General features: G+C 43.1%; 1 long non-coding RNA gene across 1 annotated transcript in view, besides 1 other annotated feature; it reads left to right on the top strand.

Annotated features, from left to right (window-relative positions):
• The window catches only part of LOC124900167 (uncharacterized), a 61114-nt gene extending 49326 nt beyond the window's left edge, over nt 1–11788 (top strand). Inside the window, exon 5 of the long non-coding RNA XR_007058167.1 lies at nt 11741–11788. This is a non-coding gene — a long non-coding RNA (uncharacterized LOC124900167). The remainder of the gene's footprint in view (nt 1–11740) is intronic.
• Nucleotides 11277–11571: an enhancer, noted in NCBI's record as "tiled region #10366; HepG2 Activating DNase matched - State 5:Enh, and K562 Activating DNase unmatched - State 9:DNaseU". NCBI's record gives its function as "activates a minimal TATA promoter and a strong SV40 promoter by Sharpr-MPRA in HepG2 and K562 cells {active_cell/tissue: HepG2 | K562}" and the evidence as "EXISTENCE:reporter gene assay evidence [ECO:0000049][PMID:27701403]".
• Nucleotides 11789–19596: the final 7808 nt, after the last annotated feature.

Raw genomic sequence — 19596 nt, 5'->3', positions numbered from 1 at the left:
AATTTTAAAAATAAAATAAAAGGACATGTGGCTGACCCATCTGACGAAAGTCCAGGCAGAGCAAAGAGCTAGAGCCAAGGTCTCGAAGTAGAGCTCATCTGGAGTGTTCTAGAAATGGCAAGCGGCCAGAGGTGGGGCAGGAGTGGGGAGGTTGGGGGGGGCGGTAATAGAAGAACATGATATCAGAGAATTTATTATAAGAACTTTTTAGCTTTTATTCCAAGTAAGCTGGAAAGCCATTGAAATGTTTTAAACAAAGAAGTAACACGATGGACCTTTTTCCTACCCCACAGAGCAAGTTAAGCCTTGGCTCCCTCACTGATAAAGTGGGAGTAATGACAGCTACTCCTTCGTGTTGCAGTAGAGACTTACGGGAGATAACATATGGAAAGTGTTTAGCACAGGGCCTGGCAAGTAATAAGTGCTCAATAAATAACTTCTATTATTTTTGTTCTTATCTCAGGAAGTGACTCACCTGTTTTCCCAGGTTGGGGATGTGTGCAGGGCCCTGGTTTCATTTCTCCTGTGTGCTTGCTTAGCTGCCAGACTTCCTACTTTTCTCATTAACAAAATTCCTTGCTCAAGGCAACATAACACACAGCGGTTGTTAACTTTGTGGCCGGACCACGAACCTCCTGAAACTGAATGCAGTCTCATGTATATGTAGTTACATACATGGGGTGTGAGGCTGAGATTCTCAAAGTGCTCCATGACCCCAAAATGCTATAGAAGAAGCGGGGCTTAACTAGATTCTGGAGAAGAGGTTCTGGGAACAGCCCAGCAAATAGCTAACTTTCTGACCCTTCCGAAGTCATTTGACATTTGGTAACATCAGTTTCCATATCCGTCATGAGGAAGTTCTGTGAGATTACATTTAAGGTTACTTCTAGGTTAAGGATTCCGTGACTGGATGTTCTTGGCATTGATTAAATAAATGCATTGATAGAGAGTGTGTTTCTCTTCTTCCTCCTTCAAACAGCCCTCTACAATGGCTAGTAATTTCCAGGACTAAGGTGTGTAATTCAGGCTCTCTGCTTTGTTTCCCTTTTACATCTATGCAAACTTTTATGGGGCTGTTATCATGCAGCCCCTTTGATCTGCCTCTCCCTGCATAGACAGCCAAGAGAGCATCTCTTTGGCCCAGCACACGGCCACTGCAGGGGAGAAGAGGAAAGAAAGGAAATAGCTATTGATTGCACTCCTACTACATCCTAGAATATCGTGCTGACGTGTTTGCTCATTTACTACTCACGAACTCTTTGTGCTATAGGTATTATCTCTACTTTATAGATATGGAAACCAGGAATCAGAAACATTTAAGGTCACCAAACATATAAATGCTGGAATTTGGACTCAAGTTTATTCTGTCTGTCTCCAAAGGTCTGTTTTTTCCCATTTCTTTATCTTGCCTTCCAGAGTAGTTGTGTCTTCGGCCATGTACCACAATTCATTCACTCATTCATTCCATGAGTGATCTTGCAAATAGAGCTCATTACAAGACTTCTTTTTTAACAGCCTCCAAATGAAAAGGAGCACCAGTCTCCTTTACCCAGCCAGAATGGTGAATGCGGTGTTCTTATTTCAGGCACCCATTTCCTGAGAAGCTAATGCAGTCATGATGTTTATGTCCCTTCTTAACTTCAGCTTGGTATTAGCCTGTAGTTCATGTCCTCCTCTTTGAAAGAAGAATGGTTTTTCTCTATATTCTCTCTACATATGTATATATTATGAAACAGACTTAGAATTAGAGCATGTTTTCTGCAGATTTCCCTAGGTTTCACGCAAATAATAGTGAGATTTTTTTCCCCCTAAAAACTACCTTAGGTAAAAAACAGACAGACATACTAGAACAGAAAAGTGATTAGATCCATATTGAATGAGACTATTTAGTTCTTCCTTGAGGCATATCATGTGTATTTGACAAATGCTGCTTAAGTGAAGGTTTAAAAAATAAAAATTAAATAATGAGTTAAAGACTGAAAAAAATGAGTATGAGTTATAGGATTTTGGATTATTGTTGAGGGAATTATTAAGGCTACATGGTCTTCTATCTGAATATCCATTCCTCCATCTCATGAGGGTCACAACATTAGAAGATTTTTAACATTACTATTTATGTGTCCACCCTTTGTTCCACATTCTTGCTCTGTCAGATGAGAAATAGAAACACTTCAGCAATTAAAAAAAAACTTTTATGAAAAATAATCACTTACCATTTCACCACTTAGGCGTGCCGAACCCCTTACAAACTTGATCTGCTGTAGATCCCTCTCTTTCCCTCTTCCCTCTCTACCCACATTGCAAATTAGGAGTATCATTAAATTAACTTTTAAAAAAAATAACTGCTACCAAATGCTGGAGTTCAAAGTTTTTTCAGTAAGTCAAGAATACGCAGTCATAGCACCTGGTTGGCAGACTAGACCTCCCAGGATTACCCAGCACCTCTTGTGCAGAGCAGAAGTCCTTCCTGGGGCATCTGCCAGAGGGTCTTCAGGGACCCAACTGGACCCTTCCGGGGAGAGGGTCTTCAAAACTTTGCAAAATAGCCCATTCCATGGCTTTTTCTAGCACTATTCAGTCTCTTATTTTCACATCTCCTCATAATTTGTATATCCCTCCTTCACTCTGTACTTCCTTCCCTGTAGAACAAACGTGAGACATGTCAGTGAAAATGGCTAGAGGGATACAAGGTGGGGCCTGGTCTGGCACTACTCACAAACAGAAAAATTGGTGCATTAAACTTTAAAGGGAACCATTCCAGAAATGATAAGAGAGGATGGGGCTGCAGCTATAATCTGCACATCATTTGAAATGCTCTAATATTATGAATAGAGCACTGACTTGAGAAGGGAAAGACCAGGGTCTACCACCAATTTGTTGGGTGATTTTAGCAAGTCATTTAATTTCTCTGGCTTACCAGAAAAATGAGGGTAATGTCACAAACTTCTCATGATCAACAAGTGACATAAAATGTATATTTTAAAGTGGTTCAGAAAGCTACGCATTAGCAAAGAATGTATGACTATATATATAGGTTACATGTTGAGTTTTTAACAGGGATCTATATGCACTGATTGCCTGTGGTGTACATGTTTCCCTTATTGCATCCTTTGTCAACTAAAGTGAGATACCAAAAAAAAAAAAGCAATACATGCTTTATAAAAGGTGCTTAGTAAATTGGTGGGAATTCTTTGCTGACCTCTGAGTATAACAACAAATTCTCAAAGACATTTTTTTTTTTTTGGTGAGACAGAGTTTCACTCTGTTGCCCAGGCTGGAGTGCAGTGGCGCGATCTCGGCGCACTGGAACCTCTGCCTCCAGAGTTCAAGTGATTCTCCTGCCTCAGCCTCCCGAGTAACTGGGATTACAGGGGCCCACCATCATGCCCAGATAATTTTCACTTGAGCCCAGGATTCAGAGGTTGCAATGAGCCAAGATCATGCTACTGTACTCCAGCCTGGGCAACAGAGCAAGACCCTGTCTCAAAAAAAGATGAGGTTTCACCATGTTGGCCAGGCTGGTCTCAAATTACTGATCTCAAGTGATCCGCCTGCCTCGGACTCCCCAAGTGCTGGGATTACAGGCATAAGACACCGCACACGGCCCTCAAGGCATCTTTTATCCTTGGTACCCTTTCACAGACACAGGAGATATCCGTTAGTAAATGGAAGGCTAATGGTTTTCAATTGCCCTTCTAAACCAATCAATTGGTAATCAGCTTCCTGGAGCCTGGATTGAGAGAATGACCTCCTGATTGGGTAGGAAAGAATTCTGTGATTTGTTAGGATGTCTGCCACAGGTGGCTGTGTGAAGTGACAGTAAATGTGCCACATATCAACCATGACCATCTTAAATACACCATGACTTAAGGGCAACTAGATGTATATGTACAACAGGACACTTATTTCCCTAAGCCTGGATATCAGGTCCACTGTTACCAATAGTAACCAACTGAGATTTATACAAAATGTGACTGTGTATCATATCTAGTTATATGTTCCTATGTTCCTGTCAACACCACGGTATCTAGAATAATAATTCATTCTCCAAAGTGATGGGAAGCTATTTTAGTCTCTACAAATTAAGTGTGCAGTTCACCCAGTTATCCATCTTTGGCCATAGATGCCATAAGGCTCTCTGCATCTGTCAGCCATCTTTGGCACATCTATCTGCCACAGATGCCATAAGGCTCTATGCATCTCTTGGGATCAGAGTGGCAAACCACCTGTTCCTAATAAAGCATCTCTAAGACAGTTGCTGAAGTGATGGCCAGAGGCGCAACTCAGATTACCAATTATGATAGCATAAATTCTGTCATACCAGCTAAGTCTTTCTGGTGACTTTAACAAGGTTTTCAGAGCCTTAAGTGTGGTTGGAATTTGTAATAATAGTGATTCCTCCAGCTTTTCTGACTCAAATCTGTGGTAGGATCCAGGCTTCTGAATTTTAATAAGGACTACAAGTATTTCTGAAGCAGGTGGTCCTCCTACTATGAGACAAGTACGTTTCCCTGTAGGTGGTAATTGAATGAGCTCTAGTCCAATAATATAGATATGGACCATACTTAGCGGCTGCAGGTAGAGCTCCTGAATTAATGAGACAAGGAATCGACATTCTGAACTAAAGTACTATGTGTTTCCTGCCCTCTTCTTTCCACTTTATTTTTTCTTTTCTATTTCTGCCCTAGTTCCTGCATTCTGGCAACTGGTACTCTCTACAGGGACACAGCCTCTATTCAGTCTTGGGAGCAGAGCATTTCTCATTATTACAAGTAACTTAGAATTTCCAGCAATTCTAGTTCCCTGTTCATCTCTCTAATTTTCTCCATCCTCTCCAGAATGTTAAGGTTTTCATAGGTCATTTCCACTACAGCAGCTGGTTTTTGCTCTGGAATTTTTAGGTCTTCTCTTAGGGAAGATGTTTCAACATCTTCCAGTGAAGAACACCCTTCAAATGACTTCCAAGTAATGTCACTGTAATCCTAAATTCTGATGCAATTCCCCCTCAAATCTTGTCTTTGGTTGGGTACAGTGGCTCACACCTATAATCCCAGCACAAGTCAGGAGGATTGCTTGAATCCAAGAGTTTGAAACCAGCCTGGGCAACATAGTGAGACTCTGTGTATGAGTCCGCTCTCATGCTATTATGAAGAAATACTCAAGACTGGGTAATTTATAAAGAAAAGAGATTTAATTGACTCACAGTTCCACATGGCTGGGGAGGCCTCAGGAAACTTACAGCCCTGGTGGAAGGCACGTCTTCACTGGGTGGCAGTAGAGAGAATGAGAGCCAAGCAAAGGGGGAAGCCCCTTATAAAACCATCAGATCTTGTGAGAATTCACTCACTATCATGAAAACAGTATGGGGAAAACCGCCCCCATAATTCAATTATCTCCACCTGGTCCCACCCTTGACGCGTGGGGCTTATTACAATTCAAGGTGAGATTTGGGTGGGGACACAGAGCCAAACCATATTACCCTGTTTCAACAACAAAAAAATTTTTTTTAATTAGCAAGTGTAGTAGCGCACGCCTGTGGTCCTAGCTACTCAGGAGGCTGAGGTGGGAAGGTCACTGGAGCCCAGGATGTCAAGGCTGCGGTGAGCTCTGATAGAACCACTGCATTCCAGCCTGGGTGACAAAGTGAGACCCTGTCTCAAACAAACAAAAATCTTATATTTTTTTTATGTCTTTCTTCTCTGGCTCTTGTGTAACATCTGCTTCAGTGGTGGCAGAAATAGTCCATGCTGCACAGATTCCCATGCAGCGCAGGTGCTGCCTGACTCACTCCTGGTATTCAACTCCTCTACTCTTTGATTTTCCACACAGGATCAGGACTAAGTGTGTATGTGTGTGTTTGTTTTTTTAAATTCAACCTGTTTACTAAACTAGTTTAGTTCCTCCTGTATCATATGCAAAGCTAAGCCACTGGCTAAATCACATTTTTCTTCATTTTCTTTCCTTTTTCCATAGTTCATGTATTGACCGCCACATCAAAACCTATTATTATAAAGCTGAAAAACTGAACTGAAACTATTTCTCCATTATTTTCTGTGATTTTTTTGTGTGTTAAAGCCTAAGCAATAATTTTGGAATTTAAAGAGATAAATAGCATTTGAATTAGGTAATTTATGACTATAGTTGGTTTTAAAAGCCTAATGAGACCAGAATGGATGAAAGAAAGAAAAATTTCCTACACATCTATAGGGAAATATCCAAGTATCAACAGGGGACATAAAATTATGTGTTGTATTTTGTTCCCCTAAATATTCAAAAAATTAAGAAATTATTTTTATTATTATTATTATTTTTTCTGAGACGGAGTCTCCCAGGCTGGAATGCAGTAGTGTGATCTCAGCTCACTTATAGCCTCCGCCTCCCAGGTTCAAGCAATTCTCCGCCTCAGCCTCCTGAGTAGCTGGGATTACAGGTGCCCACCACCACGCCCAGCTAATTTTTGTATTTTTAGTAGAGATGGGGTTTCACCATGTTGGTCAGTCTGGTCTCAAACTCCTGACCTCAAGTGATCCGCCTGCCTCAGCCTCCCAAAGTGCTGGGATTACAGATGTGAGCCACCCCACCCAGCAGCGCAGCAGATTTTATAGGCAGGCTTGAGGAGGCAGTGTCTGATTTACTAGGGCCCACAGATTTGTTTGACCAGCTGTGATGTTTACATGGTGTATGGGAAGGCTGGTCACCCCACCCTAATCTTATTATGCAAATGGGCCTTCCACTTGGCCAGTACCATCTTGCCTGCTCCTTACTGTACCCATGGCTGGCAAAAATAAAAGATGGAGCCACCATTTTGAACGTGACTAGTCCCAGGTAGTATATTACTTTTGGCACAACTGCTGGCATTTGCCTGTGCAAGCTTCCAGCTTGCTTGTCTATGTCTGTAGCTTGATTTTATAGGCTGCCTCGATAAGGAAAACCTTATCGAGGACTCCCATACCCTCACTATCTGCCTAAGTAATTTCTTCTTAACTCCTGTATCACTGGCAATATTAAATTTCTTTAGCAGGCTGGGTGCGGTGCCTCACACCAGTAATCCCAGCGCTTTGGGAGTCCAAGGTGAGCAGATCACTTGAGGTCAGGAGTTCAAGACCATCCTGGCCAATATGGTGAAACCCCATCTCTACTAAAAATAGAAAAATTAGCCAGGTGTGGTGGTGGGCACCCGTAATCCCAGCTACTCGGGAGGCTGAGGCAGGAGAATTGCTTGAACCCAGGAGGCAGAGGCTACAGTGAGCTGAAATCACGCCACTACATTCCAGCCTGGGAGACAGAGCAAGGCTCTGTCTCAAAACAAAAAAACAAAAAAACAAAAAAAAAAAACAAAAAACAAAAAAAATTCTTTAACGGAGTTGTGGTGTTAGAGAAAACTCTCAAACCATTTTTACTATTCTCTCATTCAACCCGACAATCATCAACCCAGAAGACTTCTGTGACCAAATGTCAGAGGGTGGGTTTCTTCCCACCACCAAGCAAACAATCAGTTATGCAGTGGACACAAGCTGGGTGTCCTCTGTGAAATTAGTGAAAGGCTACGAAATTAGGATTGAGGGAGGGGCCTGAATTCTGTTAAAATGTAGGCATAGGAGGCCGGGCGCAGTGGCTCACACCTGTAATCCCAGCACTTTGGCAGGCCAAGGTGGGCGGATCACAAAGTCAGGAGATTGAGACCATCCTGGCGAACATGGTGAAACCAAGTCTCTACTAAAAATATAAAAAAAGTAGCCAGGCGTGGTGGCAGGTGCCTGTAGTCCCAGCATATATATATGTTGCTTGAGGTAACACTTTTTCCTTATTTTAAAACAGAAACCAATTTCACCTCCAACGTAGTGTGTTGGCTAGTTCACTGCTGGTTCCCCAAGGCATATAGTAGACACTTAATAAACATTTGTCAATGAACAAATGAATAAATGAGTTCTTCTAGTCCTTAGTGGGGCTCAGAATTTGAAGCTGGTAGAACACAAGGAATACATTTGCCCACAGGATTTAGAAAAGGCCAAGAATGGCAATTCTTATAATAGTGATCTTGATGGGAGTACTAACTAAGCTTGGTTTACATGAACGTGTAGCCTCATTCATGATATGCTAAGGTGTTATTTGTGAACAGTCATGGGATAAAATTGTTCTTGAATGTTGAACTAGTGTTCCTGTCATTTCTATATGTAACAGGAAGAAAATACTTCCATGTCCCAACTCCTGGGGGATTGCCTTGACAAGGAGTTGGTGACTTTACAGCTTTGCCTCTTAATTTAGAGAATAGTATGAGGGTGAGGTCACACTATATCACTACGGGTTGATTTTTTCTAAAACTCTTTTCTTGTCTTCCTCTACACTTCCTTGTTGATCTCATTCATTACCATGAATTCAAGCACCATTTTTGTGCCAATGAACCCTAAATCTGTATTTTCACTCCCAATCTCTCCTTTGACTGAAAAACTCTTTTTTCTTTTTTTGAGACAGGGTCTTGCTCTGTTGCCCAGGCTGGAGTACAGTAGCATGACCTTGGCTCATTGCAACCTCTGAATCCTGGGCTCAAGTGATCCTCCCACCTCAGCCTCCCAAGTATCTGGGACCAGAGACATGCAACACCATGCCTGGCTAACTTTTGTATTTTTTGTAAAGATGGAGTGTTACCATGTTGCTCAGGCTAGTCTTCAACTCCTGGGCTCAAGTGAATCTCCCGCCTCAACCTCCCAAAGTGTGATTATAGGCATGAGCCACTGCACCCGGCCAACTGATGAACTCTTGGCATCTGTTTTCTCTACATTTTCTCCTGGAGGTTTTAGGCACCTCACACTTAACAAGTTGAAAAACAGCTTTAGATTTTCTCAACACCTATTCTTCCACCCAGATCTGATCTTCCCCATTTTGTTTTCTGGCTCCACCCTCCACCTGGCTGCTGAAGCTAGAAAACAAGAAGTAATCCTGAATTTCTTCCTATCCCCTAATCTAACTCATTTGCATAAAGCTTTTCTTGATTGCGCGTCTCAGAGTTTGGACTCATGTACTCTTGAAGGCTGGAGACATTTTAAGAAAATGGCTACCTGTTGGCTGGGCACAGCGGCTCACACCTGTAATCCCAGCACTTTTGGAAGGCCGAGGCGGGCAGATCACGAGGTCAGGAGATCGAGACCATCCTGGCTAACACGGTGAAACCCCGTCTCTAATAAAAATACAAAAAATTAGCGGGGTGTGGTGGCGGGCGCCTGTAGTCCCAGCTACTCAGGAGGCTGAGGCAGGAGAATAGCGTGAACCCGGGAGGCGGAGCTTGCAGTGAGCTGAGATGGTGCCACTGTACTCCAGCCTGGTGACAGAGTGAGACTCATCTCAAAAAAAAGAAAAGAAAATGCCTATCTGTTTACTGCTAGAAATTTATATCTTTTTCTCTGAGTGAAAATTGGGAATTCCTGTAGAAGATTCTTCTTTTCTGGGAAAAAAGAATTTTGTTTTCAGTTTTTCAAAAAAGCTGTCTTGTTTTGAACTAATCACCTGATGTTTTAAAAGCATATCTTCAATCTGAATGAAAGTTTAGAGTTCACGGGAGCAGATAACTAACTTGGTTTTATTTTATTTTATTTTATTTTATTTATTTATTTTTTGAGATGGAGTCTCGCTCTGTCCCCCAGGCTGGAGTGCAGCGGCACGGTCTCAACTCACTGCAAGCTCCACATCCCGGGTTCATGCCATTCTCCTGCCTCAGCCTCCTGAGTAGCTGGGACTACAGGCGCCCGCCACCACGCCCGGCTAATTTTTTGTGTTTTTTAGTACAGATAGGGTTTCACCGTGTTAGCCAGGATGGTCTCGATCTCCTGACCTCGTGATCCGCCTGCCTCGGCCTCCCAAAGTGCTGGGATTACAGGCGTGAGCCACAGCGCCCGGCCTTATTTTATTTTTTGAGATGGAGTCTCACGCTGTTGCCCAGGCTGGAGGGCAGTGGTGCAATCTCGGCTCACTGCAACATCCTCTCCCAGGTTCAAGTGATTCTTCTGTCTCAGTCTTCCGAGTAGCTGGGATTACAGGCACGCGTCACCATACCCGGTTCATTTTTGTATCTTTTTTTTTTTTTTTTTTAATTGAGCCTTGCTCTGTCGCCAGGCTGGAGTGCGGTGGTGCAATCTCGGCTCACTGCAACCTCCGCCTGCCAGGTTCAAGTGATTCTCCTGCCTCATCCTCCCCAGTAGCTGGGACTATAAGTGCCCGCCCCCACACCCAGCTAATTTTTTGTATTTTTAGTAGACAGGGTTTCACCATGTTGGCCCAGATGGTCTCCATCTCTTGACCTCGTGATCCACCTGCCTAGGCCCCCCAACAGGCGTGAGCCACTGTGCCCAGTCTCATTTTTGTATTTTTAGTAGAGATGGGGTTTTGCCATGCTGTCCAGGCTGGTTTCCAATTCCTGACCTCAAGTGATCTGCTCCCGTTGGCCTCCCAAAGTGCTGGGATTACAGGCGTGAGCCACCGTGCCTGGCCTCTAACTTGGTTTTAGATGACAATTATTAACAGTTGTGTCTCAGCCTGAACAAACAAAACCATAAGCTCTCTCCTCCAGCAGCCATTCCTGAGTCTACAGGCCAGACTGAAAAGACCTGATAAACACTGTCTCCTGAAAGACAGCAGATTGGGGGTAAAACAGAGGATAAAGGAGCATAAAAGAATAATCATTTAGGGGAAAGGGTATTGGTTTCTGTTCTTCAAATTTAAAACTGGAGATCCATCAGCCTCAGCATCTCAGATTAACACATCTGCTCTGTTCCGTTTCAATCAATAAAAACAAAAAGATGAACAATGAGACATTTTTGGTCATACAAATGTAAGATCAGTCTCTGTCCCCCACTTCCTATCTTTGGGAACTTTCTGGACTTTATGAAGTTGTCCAAAGGCAATTACATCAGATTAGAATATTAAATATACTGTTTAATAATCTAGAAGTCTGTCCCCTGCTGGTGGTGTGGGAGCTTGGTGAGCAGGGGAAGGAGTACAGCAGGGAGATGTTTTTCATGAGATGCCATGAGGAGGAGGAAAAGACTAAAACTGCCTTTGCAAAGATTATGACAGCGAGAGAAGTCTAGCATGGCTGACTGCATCTTGCTTCTAGTCTCACTAGGTGACTGTCCTCACTCATTCCCTGGCATACACCAAGCTAACCACAGGAGGAATTTAGTTTATAGTTTAACTTTGAAGCAAGGATAACAGTCTCTCCCTAAAACTAGCCCCCTCCTTTCTCAGGGACTAAGACCACCTTTGTAAGACTAATGAAAAGCCACAAGATTAGAATTATGGGAGGGACTTGAATTTTGCTAAAACGTAGGCATGGTTAAAGAATAACCAGCCCTTGTTTTTCTATAATCCCTTACTGCTCGGAAGTCATGAAGCCAGAGTTCACAAGACTTGTGGCTGCCCAAATTGCTCCTACGGATAACATCACTGGCTGACCCCACCTGGACCCATGACTCATGACTCAGCTAGTACTGTGGCCTCCACCCAAAGGCAGACTTAACACATGAGGACTGTTTTCCACATCCCTATGATTCCATCCTCAACCAGTCAGCAGCACCCATTCCCTAGCTCCCTACCTGACAAATTATACATTAAAACCCTTGCCTCTAAGCTCTTGGGGAGGCTGATTTGAGTAATAAACTCTCATTGGTTGCTTGGCTAGCCATGTGTTAATTAGACTCTTTCTCTACTGCAATAGTGGTGTCTCAGTGCATTGGTTTTATCTGTGCAGTAGGCAAGAAGAACCTGATGGGTGATTACAAAAGGAGGAGGAATTCTGGAGGTCCTGAACCTGGGAGAGGACAGAAGAGGGAAGAAATGCTTTAAGGGAAGTATGGGGTTCCTGGGTGCTGGCTTTTATTTTTCTCCACTAAACAGTGCTGTAGGGAGGCTTATTTCTGAAAACAAGGACATGCCATTGAACGACTTATTTGTAAATGTCCTTGCTCATTCTTAAGCTCATACTATGTGCCGTGTGGCTTTGAAGGCAGGCACCTCACTGCTTGGTGTTTCTGCTGAAATCACATGGTCACCCACTGTCTATGAACACGGCCCCTAAACCCTGTCATTCTGCTGCCAGGCCCTCTCTGTGGGCTGTGGCTTTGTAAGGGAAGAGGCAGTCACGATTCTCCTCCAGATGCAAATATTCAGCCCTCACTCTGACATGTTTCACAGTTTAATTTCTTTCTCTACTATCACTGGGTCAAAATTCTTGAAACAAACAAAAGGATATAACCTGACAAATTATTTTGCAGACAAAGTCCACCATGCTGCCAGGCTTTGCTGCTTCCTGAAAATACTGTTTTTTGCTTGCTTTTCTTCCAAATGATAAGCAGATCTCAGATTACATATGTGGCTTTGCTATTATTGTCTTCTTTTCCCTCTTGACAAATGAGAAGTTCAATGCTCATTGAAGCTCTTTGTAAAGCTGTGCTATAAGAACTGGCATTATGGAGTACAGGTCTTTTCCCTGTTCACAGTGTTTGTGACCAAACTCAGGTGAGCTTTTAGGCCCAAGAGATTACTGATGCTTAGTGGATTACACTTTGCATTTAACAAACCCTGTTCCTACACCAGTATATCATCTCTTTTAACAAAATCTAGGAAATAGTAGGAAGGCCGTATTTCCACTTTTTTTTTTTAAGAGACAAGGTCTTGCTCTGTCACCCAGGCTGGGGTGCATAGTTTACTGCAGCCTCAAACTCCTGGGCTCAAGCAATTCTTCTGCCTCAGCCTCCCAAGTAGCTGGGACTACAGGTGCATGTCACCATGCCTGGCTAATTAAATAAAAAGTATTTTTTTGTGCAGAGGGAATCTTGCCACGTTGCCCAGGCTGGTCTGAAACTCCTGGCCTCAAGTGATCCTCCTACCTTGGCCTCCAAAAGTGTTAAGATTACAGGTGTGAGCCATTGCACCAGCCCTTATCTCCACTTTAGTGGTGAGGAATCTGCAGCTGAGAAAGGCCAAGCAATATGCTTGACTTCACACACTGGCAAGGGGATTGGTGAGGCGTGAATTCCTCTCCAGGCTCTTCTGCCTTTGCCAGCCCCTGCCTATGGGGCCACCCTCGGCTCTGACCATGGCCCCTGCTCTCCACACTCTCACACTGCTCCTGAGCAATCTCATCCTCTTACAGTTTTAACTGTCAGCTGGATGCTGATGATTTCGAAATGTATATCTCCATCCCAGACCATTCTGAGCTCCTGTGTTCAAATTTCAGCTAAATGTCTCTACTTGGGTGTCTCATGGGCGTCTCAAACTCAACATGTCCCCAAGCAAACTCTGAGTTATGTGTTGCACTCAAGCTTTCTCCTCCTCCTATATCATTTCCTCTCCTCCTTCCCTTCCTCTCTCTCACTCTCTCACTTCATTTTTATTTCTGAGAATTTGGGGTTTTTCTGCCTGATTACTCTTCTTAGTTTCAATTTCAGGACTTTAATAGATGAGAACATATGGAATTTTTGTTTAAGAATGGTAGAAAGTGGATGGGTGCGGTGGCTCACACCTGTAATCCCAGCACTTCGGGAGGCCAAAGTGGGCGGATCACAAGGTCAGGAGATCGAGACCATCCTGGCTAACACAGTGAAACCCCATCTCTAATAAAAACAGAAAAAATTAGCCGGGCGTGGTTGTGGGTGCCTGTAGTCCCAACTACTCGGGAGGCTGAGGCAACAGAATGGCGTGAACCTGGGAGGCGGAGCTTGCAGTGAGCCGAGATCATGCCACTGCACTCCAGCCTGGGCAACAGAGCAAGACTCCATCTCAAAAAAATAAATAAATAAAAGAATGGCAGGAAGTAAAAACATCCATTTGAGGAAAAACGAAGCAATCAGAACTTTAAAGACTAGATATTACAACTCTGAAACACTTAACAAAAAGTAAATTCACCATGAAAGTACTAATTTGTCATTTGAATACAAAATGTTTATCACTATAAACTAAGGGGAAATGACTAAATTTATATGTATGTGTGTCCTCTGTAGATATGTCCTGTTCTCTGACACCTGTGGGAAGTAATTGTCCACTGTTTAGCAGAAATTCTGATTTGCCTCATTTTTTCATTTCTCTCTTACCAAAAATAACTCTTTTTGTTCCTGTTGTTTTCTCCTGACATTTACTTTTTAGGGTCTAGCTTTATCCAGATCTGAAAATCCAGACAATCCATTTACTTCTGTCTGTATCAGGAAACAGAGGCCTGGGTCTAGAGACAGGGTCTTGGTGAGGGAAGGACTCAAAACCATGGGATACAGCATGACCGGGCAGCACCACAGCTGTGGAAGGTGAGAAAGTTTGGCAGCATATGAGTCAAGGCATATGGATCTACATAGAGAGGAAAAGTATCCTGTCCTTGGGTAGGAGAGCTGGGTTGGGCATTAGTTGGTAGTTTTGTGTTTACTGATCTCATCTTGTTAAAACCATTTCATGATGGTTGTAGATTCTGGGGACCCAGAGTGTGAAGGGCCTGGAGAAGTGGTGATATGGTTTGGCTGTGTCCCCACCCAAATCTCATCTTGAGTTTAACTCTCACAGTTCCCACGTGTCATGCGAGGAACCCAGTGGGAGGTGATTGAATTTTGGGGACAGGTCTTTCCTGCACTGTTCTTGTGATAGTGAATGAGTCCCCCAAGATCTGATGGTTTTAAAAATGGGAGTTTCTCTGCACAAGTCCTCCCTTTGCCTGCTGCCATCCACATAAGATATGACTTGCCTTCCACCATAATTGTGAAGCTTCCTGAGCAACGTGGAACTGTGAGTTCTCCATTAAACTTCTTTCTTTGTAAATTGCCCAGTCTCGGGTATGTCTTTATCAGCAGCTTGAAAATGAACTAATACAGTAAATTGGTACCAGTAGAGTCAGGTGTTGCTGAAAAGATACCTGAAAATGTGGAAGCAACTTTGGAATGGGGTAACAGGCAGAGGTTGGAACAGTTTGGAGGGCTCAGAAGAAGACAAGAAAATGTGGGAAATTTTGGAACTTCCTAGAGATTTGTTGAATGGCTTTGACAAAAATGCCAATAGTGATATGAACAATAAAGTCCAGGCTGAGATGGTCTCAGATGGAGATGAGGAACTTGTTGGGAACTGGAGCAAAGGTGACTCTTCTTATGTTTTAGCAAAGAGACTGGTGGCATTTTGCCCCTGCCCTAGAGATTTGTGGAATTTTGAACTTGAGAGAGATGATTTAGGGTATCTAGCGGAAGAAATTTCTAAGCAGCAAAGCATTCAAGAGGTGACTTGGGTGCTGTTAAAGGCATTTAGTTTTATAAGGGAAACAGAGCATAAAAGTTTGGAAAATTTGCAGCCTGACAATGCAATAGAAAAGAAAAACCCTTTTTCTGAGGAGAAATTCAAGCCAGCTGCAGAAATTTGCATAAGTAATGAGGCGTCGGATGTTAATACCCAAGACAACAGGGAAAATGTCTCCAGGTCATGTCAGAGGTTTTCACGGCAGCCCCTCCCATCACAGGCCCAGAGGCCTAGGAGGAAAAAGCAGTTTCATGGGCTGGGCCCAGGGTCCCCATGCTGTGTGCAGCCTAGGGACTTGGTGCCCTGAGGCCCAGCTGCTCCAGCCATGGCTAAAAGGGGCCAACACAGAGCTCAGGCCGTGGCTTCAGAGGGTGCAAGCCTCAAGCTTTGGCAGCTTCCACGTGGTGTTGAGTCTGTGAGTACACAGATGTCAAGAATTGAGGTTTGGGAACCTCCACCTAGATTTCAGAAGATGTATGGAAATGCCTGGATGTCCAAGCAGAGGTCTGCTGCAAGGGCAGGGCTCTTGTGGAGAACCCTTCTGCTAGTGTGGAAGGGAAATGTGGGATTGGAGCTCCCACACAGAGTCCCTACTTGGACACTGCCTAGTGAAGCTGTGAGAAGAGGGCCACCATCCTCCGGAGCCCAGAATGGTAGATCCACTGACAGCTTACACTGTCCACTTGGAAAAGCTGCAAACACTCAACACCAGCCCGTGAAAGCATCTGGGAGGGAGGCGAAAGCATCTAGGAGGGAGGCTGTAACAGGGGCTGAACTGCCCAAGACCATGGGAACCCCCGTCTTGCATCAGTGTGACCTGGATATGAGACATGAAGTCAAAGGAGATCATTTTGGAGCTTTAAGGTTTGCCTGCCCTGCTGGATTTCGGACTTGTATGGCCCCGGTAGCCCCTTTGTTTTGGCCAATTTCTCCCATTTGCAATGGCTGTATTTACCCAATGCCTGTACTCCCATCGTATCTAGGAAGTAACTAATTTGCTTTTTATTTTACAATCTTTCCAGCTCATAGGCAGAAGGGATTTGCTTTGTTTCAGATGAGATGTTGGACTGTGGGCTTTTGAGTTAATGGTGAAATGAGTTAAGACTTTGGGGGGACTGTTAGGAAGGCACGATTGGTTTTGAAATGTGAGGACATGAGATTTTGGAGGGCCAGGAGCAACATGATATGGTTTGGCTCCGTCCCCAGCCAAATCTCACGTTGAATTATAACTCCCACAATCCCCACATGTCATGGGAGGAACCCAGTGGGAGGTGATTGAATTATGGGGATGGGTCTTTCCTGCACAGTCCTCATGATAGTGAATGAGTCTCACAAGATCTGATGGTTTTAAAAACAGGAGTTTCCCTGCACAAGTTCTCTTCTGTTGTCTGCCTCCATGTGAGACATGCCTTTCACCTTCTGCCATGATTGTGAGGCTTCCCCAGCCACATGGAACTGTAAGTCCAATAAACCTCTTTCTTTTGTAAATTGCCCAGTCTTAGGTATGTCTTTATCAGCAGCATGAAAACAGACTAATACAAGTGGGCAGAACTGAATAACAAACAGAGAAAGAGGAGTGGGGGGTCCTCCACCATACAGGGATTGTATCAACTTCTGAATCAAGGTGAAGGTAAACTGCAACAGGTCATAGTCCTTAGACCCCAGGACTAAGAAGAAAATAAAAAAACTATGCTTACAACACTCTAGTTCTAGGTACCAGGGTTTTTAGTGCTGGGAAATGCCAGTGAAAACATATGAAAACTTTCAAAACTAAGCCCAATCAGTGGCTCAGGGGCAAGAGGGTTGATATAAGAACATTTTGTCATCTGTTTTCCAAGAGTTAGAACAAGCGACTAGGGGGAAAAACCTTGGCTGTGTCATATTAAGAATATCATGGCCAGGCACAGTAGCTCACACTTGTAATTTTGGGAGGCTGAGGCAGGTGGATCACCTGAGGTCAGGAGTTCAAGACCAGCCTGGCCAACATGGTGAAACCTCATCTGTACTAAAAATACAAAAAATTAGCCAGGCCTGGAGGCGGGTGCCTATAATCCTAGCTACTCAGGAGGCTGAGGCAGGAGAATTGCTTGAACCTGGGAGGAGGAGGTTGCAGTGAGCTGAGATCATGCCATTTCACTCCAACCTGGGTGACAGAGAGAGACTCTGTCTCAAAAAAAAAAAAAATCTGCTGCAGTGCGCCACTTTTCCCTTTTCGGACACCTCTCTCACGAGAGAGAGGGGGCTGCTCTCCTCTATCCTTTCTTCTGCCTATTAAACTTTCCACTCCTTAGCACATTCCGTGTGTGTGTCTGTGTTGTTAATCTTCTACGGGCGAGATGACGAATCCCAGGTATTTACCCCAGACAACGGTGCTGCTTCACTATGACAGGAAATGTCCTCTCCATAGGGCATAGACCAAGTAAACGACTTTGTAACTTTCCTTCAATCTCTTCATTTACATAGAGCGTACACCAAGCAACCAATGGAATCCTCTAGATGGTATTTAAACTCCCAAAAATTCTGTAATGGGGCCCTTGAGCCTCTATGCTCAGGACCGCTCCCACACTATGGAGTGTACTTTCATTTTCAATAAATTTCTTCATTCTTTCCTTGCCTTGTGTGTGCATTTTGTCCAATTCTTTGTTTAGGATCCAAGAACCTGGACACCCTCCACTGGTAACACCAGTACCGATGACACCCTGGAGCGCCCTGCCCTGATCCCATCCTCTCTTTCAGAGGCAATCTGAATTTTGCACTACAATTTCCTTGATTTTCCTTACAGTTTCACCACATATGCAGGTATTGCTGACCAACATACTTTTGATTTAAAAGTATATGTTATCATATAACATGTATTCATTATATGGAATTTCTATAAACATCATCAAATACCATATGTTTTCCTCTGACTTGCTTTTTTCCACTCATTGTTACATTTTTGAGCTCACCCATATTGATCCGGAAAGCTAAAGTTCATTCACTTTCACTACAATATAATATTATTTGTCTGATATTAATATAGCCACAGCAACTTACTTTCAGTTCATTCCCTGGTAGACCATTATCCATCTTTTGACCTACTAAGGTTCTATGTAGTATGCTGGGGCAAATCTTGATAAGAACATACAGCTAGATGTATTTGTTCACTTTTAAAATCTGATATGGCAATTTTTGTGTTTTAACTGAGGTATTTAATGTGCTTGCTGTTACGTTTGGGGAGAAAAATCTGCCATCTTATTTTGTGCTTTCTATTTATTTCTTTTTCTATTTCTCTGTCTTTCCCCTCTTCTTTCTTGACTTCTTTAGACTTGATTGAGTCCCCACTTCTAGTTCACCCCACAGATAGGAAATTTTCAAAACACAGAATTTTAAATGTAATCAAACCATAAAATGAAATGGAAAAATAGAAATATGTTCAGACACAGAAGGACTCAGAAAATGTACTTCTCACTCCCACCCCATCTTAGGAGGTCACATTCATATGTCACCCAGCCAAATGAGAGAATAAGCCAATGAAAGAGGATGTCTAGAAATCTATATAACCCCAGGAAACAATAAAGAAAAGTTTCAGATGGACAGAAGCACAGCAAGTCTAGAGAAGAATCCATCCAAATTGGAGCAAGAGGGTAGAGGTTTCAGGGAGAAGCTACGCAGGGAAAACAATTCCAAAGATTTGCAACTAGCATTGAGGAAATGATTAAGATAGGTAAGGTAAGGAAACAAAGAAAAAGGATCTGAAACTTCAGAAGAAAAAAAATGTCCTGACCTCATCAGTTAACTTTATTGTTATTTATTATTAATCTTATTTTATGAGCTGTGAAGCAACTTGCCCAAGGTTAATGCTTCCTCACAGGGCTATTGTTGAAGATTGAGTTAGTTAACAGAGTAATTAGAAGAGTGTCCCACAATTAATAAAGGCTACATAAGTATTTATCAAATAGATGATGGGAAATGAAGCTTGGGTCTGCCCTTAGCAATAGTCACATAGTCACAATAATGTTACTATTGCTTTTTAAACTAAATTCAGCCATGAGGCAAAGTACAAATGACTTAATTATGGTTACAGAATGAGATGTAAAGTTTTATCAACTTTGAAAATATATAAAAGCTTTGAATATATAATATAAAATATCAAAAACACAGATGACAGAAGTTGGGCAGTAGAAATGAGGGTAAGAGAAGGAAGGGAAGGTAAGGACACTGCTCACCTCCTAAAATGGGAAGCCAAGGGATACTGTCTAAAGTAGAAGAAGCCAAGGATAAAGGTCCAGTCAGGTATTTAAAGTTATAAGGGAATTGGGTGGAGTGCAGTGACTCACGTCTGCAATCCCAGCACTTTGG

The sequence above is a fragment of the Homo sapiens genome, chromosome 4 (genome assembly GCF_000001405.40).
Source record: "Homo sapiens chromosome 4, GRCh38.p14 Primary Assembly".
Classification (NCBI taxonomy): domain Eukaryota; kingdom Metazoa; phylum Chordata; class Mammalia; order Primates; family Hominidae; genus Homo; species Homo sapiens.
The sequence above is the reverse complement of the archived record's forward strand: the minus strand, read 5'-3'. Positions and strand labels throughout refer to the sequence as shown.